At 40.5% G+C, this 11,281-nt stretch overlaps 1 annotated feature.

Annotated features, from left to right (window-relative positions):
- Window positions 9,483-10,682: an enhancer, noted in NCBI's record as "BRD4-independent group 4 enhancer chr11:79262907-79264106 (GRCh37/hg19 assembly coordinates)". NCBI's record gives its function as "activates an origin of replication core promoter dependent on BRD2, P300/CBP, MED14 and CDK7 cofactors, and independent of BRD4, by STARR-seq in HCT116 cells {active_cell/tissue: HCT116}" and the evidence as "EXISTENCE:reporter gene assay evidence [ECO:0000049][PMID:35650434]".

Raw genomic sequence — 11,281 nt, forward strand, 5'->3', positions numbered from 1 at the left:
TCTCATCATTAATTGGTTCTTTCTCTAATCTCCAGATGGAGAACAGAACCTCCTTTCACTTGATTTTCCCTTAAATCATTGCTCACAAGGCATTTGTGAGTATAGCAAACTTTGCAGGTTGGAAGTGATGAAAGGGTTTATTCCTTCAGGTGGCTTTGCTCCCTTCAGCTCTCCTCTCCTCTCCTCTCCCCCTCTCCCACCTTGAAAGACTCACCTTTCCCAGTCTTGCCCAAAGATTCAATAATATGCTCTGTTAAACAATGGGCCATTTACTCCAGGCTAATCATGTAGCAGAAACAAAAAGTTGGCAAGGACTTTGGAATTTGGGTTCATGCCTCTCCTCCTATTTCAGCAAGGGCAAAGAAGAAATTTAGAAATGAGATAATCCTGACATAAATAAATAAAATTGGGATCCACCCAATTAGAAAGCAAAAGTGGCTACTGTTAATGTAAACTGTAATTTGCAGTAATTCCTTTTTTCTCCTCTTGGTCACTTGTCTGACTTCTCTGTTAGATCACGTACTTCCTTAGGGAAGACACTCTGTAACACCATTCCTGGGTCCCTCTGAGGACCTGCCATGGTGCCTACCAGAGCATAAGGACCAGAGAGAGCTGGTGGAGCTGAATTGCTTCTCTTGGTCATCATTTTCTGTGGAGGTCACCTTCAGAGACTGCAGTTTCTTGGCTTGGACTTTTAAAACATGGGAGGAAAAATGTATATACCTGGGAGAGTGTCAAATGCAGAAGTATTTTAGGGAACACTCCCAGGATTATTAGAACTGGCTCTTATCTCTGCATTTGCAGGCCCCAGCATCCAACTCCTTTGTAGGGAACACTGCTTGATCAGGGTGCCTTATTTGGATTGGTGGGGATTCTTGACTGTGCAGAGGAACTCATTCCCTGCAACCCCAGGCAGGCCTGAGTCAGGCACAGTGGGGCACAGGGCAGGCAGCTCCCTTGCTGTGAGGTCTCCATGTTAAATGTTCAACTAATTAACGTGCTCAGTGGAGGCACATCCCTTTGATTAATCACAACTTGCAGAGAATTCAGAGACTGAAAAAGCAGCACCTTTGCTTATTTACTTACTTAAGGACTAGGCACCTATATTAAAACTTTCACTTTGTCTCTAAATTAAGACATCTGCATCTGTTTTTGAGGCAATTATACAAAAGTTCTTTGTCTTTAAAAAGCCTATTTAGAAAGTTGTGAATAATAATGGTCACAACTTTATTGACCATTTCTCAATAAAAGCCTACAAGAAAGGGAGAAAGTCTCCTAGAAAGGGAGACAAAACCAACCAAACTTAGAAGAAGATGGAATTTGGGGCTTCAAATATAAGAGTATCTGGGTTTAGTCTCCAGCTCCCTTATATCTGTAACATACTCTTTAGACTAAACCTGGAACCAGACCAAGAACATAGTAGGTATTAATTGAATGATTACATGGAAGAATAAATAAGACAAGATGTTGAGAGGCTTATCCTTTCAGCACTGAGCACACAGTATGTACACACACAAGTAGAGGGAGGCCCAGTAATGTTTCAGAAACACAGCACCCTTTTGTCAACAGAGCATGTCCATGCCATCTTGAATTAGGTATAATTTTTAATTGCTGATATTCTTTTACCAATCAAAATATGCCTTATTTCTTCTAAAATGCACAGATCTTAAAGAAGCATTGTGCCACAGTTTAATTGGTGGAGATTTTTTTCTTTAATAATGTACATACAAGCATGAATTTGGTGGTAATTGTGGTGAGGCTTATATTGGTGTCATTTTAGATTTGGTGAAATACAGTATGTGGGAATTTCTGTTAAATTTTATTCACATTGATTGTTTGGTTATTGTCTAAGTAATGCTTTGTTCTGTTTTTGTTGTTATTTTTGCTGTCTTAATTCTTTGTTATTTTTGAGTTCTTTTTCAATATAGGAAAGAGATAGAGATAAGATATTTAGTTGGGATATAGTGAGTTGTGACTGACATTAGTGTCCTCTGGTCAAAATAAATTTGAGGATTTCTGCCCCAGACCAGGGTCAGTACACAAAGAGCCTGTGCCATCCCTCCGCATCCCTGCACCCATGTCAGACATCACTAATTGATTGCCATACTCTTTCCTGTTGGGCTCAGATAAGGGCTCCTGATCCTCACTACAGTGCCTTGGGCGGTCACTACTGATGATCTGGGCTTGGTATTAAAGATAAGACCTATCTGACATCACAGGCATTCTTGGTTCTGTTTCTGGATCAAATCAAACCATTAAAAAGCTTTGCATTTATATCTTATTTCCTTTGCATTTGGCAGCTATGCTGTAGGCTTTTATTGAGAAATGATACAAAAATTGCCTTACAAAACTGTTTTCTGCATTTTTGCAAGGAAGCTGTTAAAGTCATTATTCACTACATCGCTTGGTGCACCTCATAAGGATTTTTTAAAAAAACGTATAAGCTGCTAGGAAATATATACTTTCTGTCTCTTGAGAAACGATTCTGTTTCTTTCTCAGATGACTAGAACTATATAACTAACTGGGTCTCTATTTTGGTTTTGGCTGCCAAGAAGCTCACAGCCAGATCTGAGAGATCTTTATAGATTCATTTAGCATTTATATTTGTGTTCTTCCTCCAGCCCCAATTTTTGACTTTTAGCCTTTATATATGTTACAGATTACTTTATATTTTATCATGCACTCATTTCCACTGTATAGTATGTATTCTTATTGTAAGGCTTTTGTAGACCAAGCTGCAGTAAAATAAGAGTGTAACTGAATGGTTTGGCCTATAAGACCAACAAGAGTTCAGGCCAAAGTTTTTACGGAGGAAAACAGGCATGCTCATAATGTGATGTAAATGATAACCTTCAGATCTGGGTGACTGTGGGAGGCAGCTTCTCAGATGGCTCTCAATGATCCTTGCCCTCTGTTTTTCACCCTATGTGTAAATCCCCTTTGCTTTGTTACGGCCTGTGAGAGACCCTGAGACAGAGGACTTCATTAAGCCACAGAAACTATGAGATAATAAACCTTGTTGCTTCAAGCCAATAAGTCGGGTGGTGATTTTTTGTGCAGCAATCGATAAACTAAAACAAGAAGACATCCCAGCTTATGCAAGCTTCTCATTTGATTCATATGTCAACATTAATGGCTAGGTGTTATCCTCACTCCTGGTACATAGAAGGGCAACGAGCTCTGGAGCTCAGAGAGGAGCAGTTTCACAGGGAAGTTCACTCAGATAATGGCAGAGAACTTCAGATCACGTTGTTGGACTCCAAGCTCAGTGTTCTTTCCTCTACAACAGTGACTTCTTAACTCGGGCTGATATGAGCATTGTTGATGGCAACCCATTAACTAGTTAAATTGATGGAACTTGATAACTTTCACCTATATTCTCATGTGGAAGCTATAGGAACATATTTTATTGAATGTCTGGAGTGCTGTACATTTTGTTGATTGTCTCATTTGCTGGAGTTTTAGTCTTCATGTACAAAGCAGGTTGCACAGTGAATATTTAGTAATTATAATTTTACAACAAGCATGGAGGCAACATCTGTGTGTCAGTTACTTTTTAATCTAGCTAATTCAATGTATACCATTTGAACCTCACAGCTGATCAATGAGGTAAGTTACAGATAATGAGGACTGAGGCTCAAAGAGGTTGAAGGATTTGCCCTAGATTACCTAGAAATAAGGCCCAAAGACAGAGTTTAAACCCAGTTCTATCCAAGCTAAAACCCAAGGTTTCTTCACCACAAATTGGATTCTTTTTTTTCTGTAAGTAGATCAATTCTAGAAAACTGGCAAGTGTTGAAGTGGGGTGAAGTTTCCTTCTAAAGTTTTGTCTTTGTATTAGTGGAAAGAAATCTTTTTGAAAACCACTAAAATGCTACAGAACAAATCCTAACACCTACTCATACTACTTTTAAAATTTGGGATTCAGCATCCCGCAAATCCCTACTGTATTAAAGGACATTTTCTTGTCCCCAAAGAAAAAAAGAATAAAGACATTTTGAAATTGGTATCAGTTTCACTTTAACAGACCCTTCTCAAGGGCTTTTACATGTAAACAAGATCGTTAAACACTTAACGTGACATTTATTACCTTTAAATATTCATAAGCCACTGAGTACCGGGAAACACCTACTGCACCGTTCAAGCTGGCTGAGTCTCTCAAAATATGATGTGCACGTGAAGTACTTTCAGGAACCTCAGGTAACTTCAGGGTACAGCTTCCTCCTCTGAAACCTTAATGGCACTCACTAAGTTTACGAACCGTCTTGTTTGCAAACAAGGCAGTAAACCCAATAAAGCAATCTGTGTCTATTTCCTTACACGTGTGAGTAAAATTATGCTTTCCTTTAAAGAAGCCAGCAGGAAAACATGCGCATTTTGTCTGGACTTGTTCTACCAGGCTGTTCCCTTGCCCAGGGTTAAACAACCAAACCCTAGAAGGATGAAGGCTACCTTCTTTTCAGCCCTGATCATTGTGACCAGTATTTGGCATCAGTTCTAGGATGTGAGATAGGAAACTTGGACCAATGGCAGTGAGAAGAAAATGCATTTTTATTTTGTTGCAAACATTGTCCTGTGTAGATGGGAAATAAATCTACCCCCAGACACAGCGATGAAACTCTGTCTGTGCATGATTTTTTCCCTCTCTATCTCAGGAAAGTAAAAAATATTACTTAGGTATAAAGTTAGAGCAGTAAGAATCTGGAGATTGTAGGGATGGGCAGAAGAGAGAAAGATCTCTTCTCACCTTTTATTCCCTCTATGGCAAAGTCTTGTGATGCTGTCAATTCCACCGTTGTCAGTATTGAATCTCTTTCATGTTGATAGTAATCATATTAATGATTATCATACCCACTTTATAGGTAAGAAAACTGAGGTTCAGGGATTTTGAATGATTAGTTCAGAGTTGCACAGCTGGGACTCAAAGTGCTATTTTAACCCTAAATTTAGGACTCTCTACCACAAACACCTAATTTTACAAGTTCTGCCCCTGTCCATTTGGATTTCCCAGCATCCCTTGAAAGAACTGGATATTAAAAGCATGAATCAGAGAAGGCCAAGGAGAGATGTGGTTTCTGTCTTCAAGTAGATGGTCATATGAGAAAGGAATTAAGGCTGTTCTGTGTGGTTTGTAGATAATGGAATGAGATCAATTGGTAGAAGTTTAAGGGAATAGATCAAAGAATTTTCTAACCATCAACACTAACCAACTTTAAAACAGACAATAATATTAGGTGGTGAGTGTCTTGTCCTAAAAATGTTCCAATAGCATCTGGCTGACCCTCTGACTGGGACTCTGTGACTGGGATCCCCGTACTGGGGAGTATGGAATACTTCAGATTCCATAGTATGCTTGATTGCTGAGTATTGAGGGCTCTGCTATAGCTCAGCCTGAAGCTCAATTAAGTGTACTAACATACGACTAACTTAAAAACCTCAGTATTCCACAGAGATGCTGCAGGGTTCCACAAGTGCCTGATTTGAATTTGAAGTTTTGTGTTTTCTTATATAACAAGAAAAAAAAAAGAACCTAAACATATGTTTTTTTGTTTTGTTGGTTTTTTTTTTTTTTTTTGAGACAGGGTCTAGTTTTGTCACACAGGCTGGAGTTCAGTGGCACCATCAAGGCTCACCTCAGCAACGTGAGTAGCTGTTACTACAGGTATGCACCACCATGCCTGGCTAACTTTTTTATTTTTTGTAGAGAGGGAGTCTTGCTACATTGCTCAGGCTTGTCTTGAACTCCTGAGCTCAAGTGATCCTTTTGCCTTGGCATCTCAAAGTGCTAGGATTACAAGTGTGAGCCAATGCATCCAGTCTTCATAAATGATCAAAGATGGCAGTTAAAAAGAAATAAAATTTTCAATAAATATTGCTGGGACAAATGCCTAGTTATTAGGACAAAAGTAAAGCTGGACCTTTCCCTCATTCCTTTTGTGGAAATAAATTCCAGCTTAATCAAATATTTAAACCCTAAAAATAAATATTAGAAGATATATGTGAGGGTAGCCACACGCATACACACAGGCGTGCAGCACATGTGAAGGATGAAGGGCTGGCTTCCTGGTCTGCAGAGTCTTTTAGTGCATATTCCAAAGTTCTTGCACACATGTCATTGATCAGGCAGTTATATCCCTGAATTTTTTGTTTTTAAAAGTCAGGCTTGTGCATGTTGCCCATGTGAGTTGGTTCACCCCTATCGCATGGGGTGTGCTGAAGAGAGTTGTGTGATCTATTCCTAGCAAAACCCGGGTGCCTCTGTTCTTGGCATTCTCCTGTAATAACAAAATGGACAGCAGAGTAAAAATAGCAAGCACATTTCAAATGTTTTGTTGTGTGCTATTATTGAATTAGGAATCTTTTTGTTTTCACTGGAACTTTTGGGTGATCCTTTTCTGTACTTCATATTCATGTGAAAAATATATACAGGTGTCGTTGGAGGTCATCAGTGATTGAACTTTGAAAAGAAACTTTCCTTTGGCTCCTCTTTGAAGTTTGTGGATCAGTTGATTTGAGGGGCAGCCGGAGATCGTGAGGCAAGCTATGAAAAATGTGCCATTTGCAGCTACTTATCTGTGCAAATAAGGACATTCTCAAGACTGGCAAAGCCACACAGTGCAGGAAAATCAAATGAATGCTGAGTTTGATTTAAGGTTGTAGCTTCACAACCTCATTGTTCTCTTTGACTTAATAAGTCAATGCTACATTTTGAACTTAAAAAATACATTGGAGCTAAATAGACTTTTTTTGTTGTTGGGGCGCTTGGTATGGTGTTGTTATGGATAAAAAGTTTTCACTATTGAAAAGTTTGAAAATCAGTGACTTAAGATGTATTTTTTTCTGGAAAAAGAAGTCTTCTTTGATTATCATTGCTTTTCCTTTACTCCTTTGGCCTCAACTGTCAAGATAATACAGAACTATGATAGGCTTTCAACTGTAATAGTGTCCATACCTTAAGTTTTCTAGGATAATTATTTCCCTTCTTTTTCCATCATTACTTCTTTTAAAGATATTTGTTTTTCTACTATCTGTCAATTGGCTTTTTTTTAAAAAAAAAAAAAATTAAAACTACTTCTTATTCTGGAGGCAGGTGGGATATATTTGGTCAAGAAATATTTAATGTGATGGATATTTATTGCCTGTCTACTATATTTCAGGTACATTTCTAGGTGCAGAGAAATTAGATAACAAAGGAGAGTCTCCAGCCTCATGGAGTTTGCTTTCTAATAGGTTGACATAGACAATAAACAAATGTATACTATGTCAGGAAATGATGAGGGCTAAGCAAGCTAAGCAGGCAGAGTGAGGGCTGGAGGATGGATGTCCCATTTTAAGTCACAGTTGGCCTCTCGGAAAAAAATATGATTTGAACAGAGACTTGAATGAAGTGAGGAAGAAAGGCATAATGACATCTGAGGGCAGAGGTGACCTGTCTGAAGAATCCAGAAAGGGCGTGAGGTGGAGCCTTGGACACCATGCATGTAAATTTAGAAAATGAGAATGAGGGAGGCGATTGCATTTCTCCCTTTGTCAGCGGAAATGAGTTGGGACAGGGGACTGCCAATAGCATTCCCTAACCTGCCTGCCTCTCTGTCCACTCACTACTGTGGACACTTGTTCCCAGGGCTCAGCCAGTCTTTCTGGAGAGCTCAGGAGCCACTGAAATCTTACTACCATATTCCTCAGGTTCTGCCTTCTTTAGTGCCACTTTTCTACCGACACCGACATCTACAGCATTCTGGCTCAGCCCGTAGCTCCCAAGCTATTTCTAGTCAATAGCTGACCTACCAGGGGGGTTAACCTTGCCAGTTAGGCCAGGCACCTTGACTGCCAAATAATGATGACGGTGATGGTGGTGGTGGTGGTGGTGGTGATGATAGCAGCACCTACCACTTATTGAGCACTCACTCTAAAGAAGTGTCAACAATCTTTCAGGGCAGCTAATATTTTCAATCTACAAATGAGGAAACTGAGGCTCAGAGAGGACAAATGCATTGCTTTACGCCTCACAGGTTGGGAGAGATAAGCTGGTGTTTGAACGCAGGTCTATCTGACTCCAGAGAATGAGTCCCTTCTACTACTGGGTGCTCCTGAGGGTCAATGCAGGTTGCTGTGTAGTCATTAACAAGTAACCCACACCAACTGCATGCCTTTTGGCCTTGTATCAAGGATTGAGCTTCTTTCATGGTTCCTAATTATTGCTCCAGTCACTTGTTGAGAGGACACATTGACTGGTATTTTCCAGAACCTTGCCCAGAATGGTGGTCCCTGTCCATCATTACCTGAGAATCCACTGAAACAGGTCCTCTATAAACCATACGAACAACCCTGGACATCAGTGCTGATAGGCATTTTGGCTGCCATGCCTCAGCTGTCATGGAGCAGCCCCAGATTTGCCACCTTTTAAAGAATTCCATATAATTTAAACTTCTTGTTACCTGCTTCAGGGACCAGTCCTTTTAGTGAATGGTTTTCCTTAGACTGAGTCCCAGACAGACACTGCCTGGCTTACTCTTCTTTCTGAGTTTGCCTGGGCTATAATCCTTTTCCTTGATGTGAGAACATGTTCCACAAATGCAGAACTATAATGAGCATTTTTGCCAAGATTTTATCCTCTATATGCTCACTTTTTTGGGATATGTTCCAAAACAATTTTTTTTTAATAGGATAATTTCTGGGGAGAAAGCTTACTGTGTTTAAAACCTGATATTTCAAGGGCAGATGAAAGATTTTTTTCAAGAATTAAGAAAACACTTCATCATTTATTTCTTTGGCAGAGTATCTGCATGTGTTTCTTTTGAAATCCTCAGAAATTAAGGCCATACTGTATTCATTTTCAAATTATAGAAAATACACTAAAGAAGAAATGAACAGAAGAGAAGAAAGACACGCTTTGCTAAAAGCCATGTTTTCTTAAATTGCTTGGTCACATGAATTCATTTATTTGTCTAATGTAGAAATTGGCAAACTTTATTTGTAAAGGGCCAGACAGTATAAGTATTTTAGGCTGTTTGGCCATATAACCACTCTCACAAGAACTCAACTCTACCATACATGAAAACAGCCATAGGCAATGTGCAACTAAGTGAATGTGACTGTCTTCCTATAAAACTATTTCCAAAAACAGGTGGCAAGCCAGATTTGGTCTGTAGGCCATAGCTTGTTCACTCCTTGTCTAGTGGAAGAATACTTACTATATGGCCCCTTATGCCAGCAACAAGGTAGGCACAAAGCTGGTCAGAACTAGAAGGATGCTTATAGGTAATCTATTCTAATTCCTTCATTTTATCTTTGAGGATTTGTTGATGCTCAAGGTTACATACGTTGTTATCAGCAGCATCAAAAAAAGAATTAACATTAATTGAATGTGTTCATATTCATGACAAAAATTGCTAGTTTTCTCTAATATCCATTCTCCCCAACTTTTTTAGTAATGGAACCCCAGATTTTTATTTGGTTATATGGCCACTGGAATTAAGACTATATTTCCCAGACTCTGTTGTCTTTGGGTGTGGCTGTGTAACTAAGTTCCTCTCAATATATGTGTGCTACTTAAAGGAAGTACTCTAAAAGAAAGGGAATATGCCATTTTTCCTCTCTCTTTTCTTCAGACTGGAACGTGGATGTGTTAGCTGAAGCCTGAGTAGGCACCTTGCACTGCGGTGGAAGCATTGTGCTGACAGTGGTGAATCAATAACAGATAAAGTGCTCAGATGCCTGATGCTATGTAGCACCACAACTGAACTGTGCTGCCTTCTGACTTCTTTTATTTCAGCAGATTCAAGATGTTATTCTTTGCTTTCTGATCTGGATTGCCTCTGATGAGAAGTCTGCAGTAATTCTTATCTCCGCTCCTCTCTATAGAGTGTGCCATTTTCTTTCACTGCTCTTAAAATTTTCTCTTTATTGTTGATTTTTAGCAATTTGATTATGATGTGCAATGGTATGGTTTGTATTTCTCCTTCTTTAGTGTGTAGACTTCTTGGATCTGGAAAATTTAAAGCCATCATGATCACAAGTTTTCTTAGTTCCCTCCTCCCCTTTCACACCTTGTTTCTGGGATTTCAATTAAATGCATGTTAAATTGGCTTATATCATCCTACAGGTCACTAAAGCTCTGTATTATTTTTCCAGTCTTCATTCTCTCTGTAATTCAGTTTAGAGAGTTTCTATTGTCTTACCTTAAAGTTCACTGATTTTTTTTTTAAATTTTCTGTTAAATCCAATCAGCCAGTAAGCCTATTCAGTAAACTCTTTTAAGACGTTATAGCTGGGGAGGAGCCAAGATGGCCGAATAGGAACAGCTCCGGTCTACAGCTCCCAGCGTGAGTGACGCAGAAGACGGGTGATTTCTGCATTTCCATCTGAGGTACCAGGCTCATCTCACTGGGGAGTGCCAGACAGTGGGCGCAGGTCAGTGGGTGTGCGCACCATGCACAAGCTGAAGCAGGGTGAGGCATTGCCTCACTCAGGAAGCGCAAGGGGTCAGGGAGTTCCCTTTCCTAGTCAAAGAAAGGGGTGACAGACGGCACCTGGAAAATCGGGTCACTCCCACCCAAATACTGCGCTTTTCCGACGGGCTTAAAAAACGGCGCACCACGAGATTATATCCCGCACCTGGCTCGGAGGGTCCTATGCCCACGGAGTCTCACTGATTGCTAGCACAGCAGTCTGAGATCAAACTGCAAGGCGGCAGCGAGGCTGGGGGAAGGGCGCCCACCATTGCCCAGGCTTGCTTAGGTAAACAAAGCAGCTGGGAAGCTCGAACTGGGTGGAGCCCACCACAGCTCAAGGAGGCCTGCCTGCCTCTGTAGGCTCCACCTCTGGGGGCAGGGCACAGACAAACAAAAAGACAGCAGTAACCTCTGCAGACTTAAATGTCCCTGTCTGACAGCTTTGAAGAGAGCAGTGGCTCTCCCAGTATGCAGCTGGAGATCTAAGAATGGGCAGACTGCCTCCTCAAGTGAGTCCCTGACCCCTGATCCCCGAGCAACCTAACTGGGAGGCACCCCCCAGCAGGGGCACACTGACACTTCACACGGCAGCGTACTCCAACAGACCTGCAGCTGAGGGTCCTGTCTGTTAGAAGGAAAACTAACAAACAGAAAGGACATCCACACCAAAAACCCATCTGTACATCAACATCATCAGAGACCAAAAGTAGATAAAACCACAAAGATGGCGAAAAAACAGAACAGAAAAACTGGAAACTCTAAAAAGCAGAGTGCCTCTCCTCCTCCAAAGGAACGCAGTTCCTCACCAGCAACGGAACAAAGCTGG

Source organism: Homo sapiens, chromosome 11, assembly GCF_000001405.40.
Source record: "Homo sapiens chromosome 11, GRCh38.p14 Primary Assembly".
NCBI classification, from domain to species: Eukaryota; Metazoa; Chordata; class Mammalia; order Primates; family Hominidae; genus Homo; species Homo sapiens.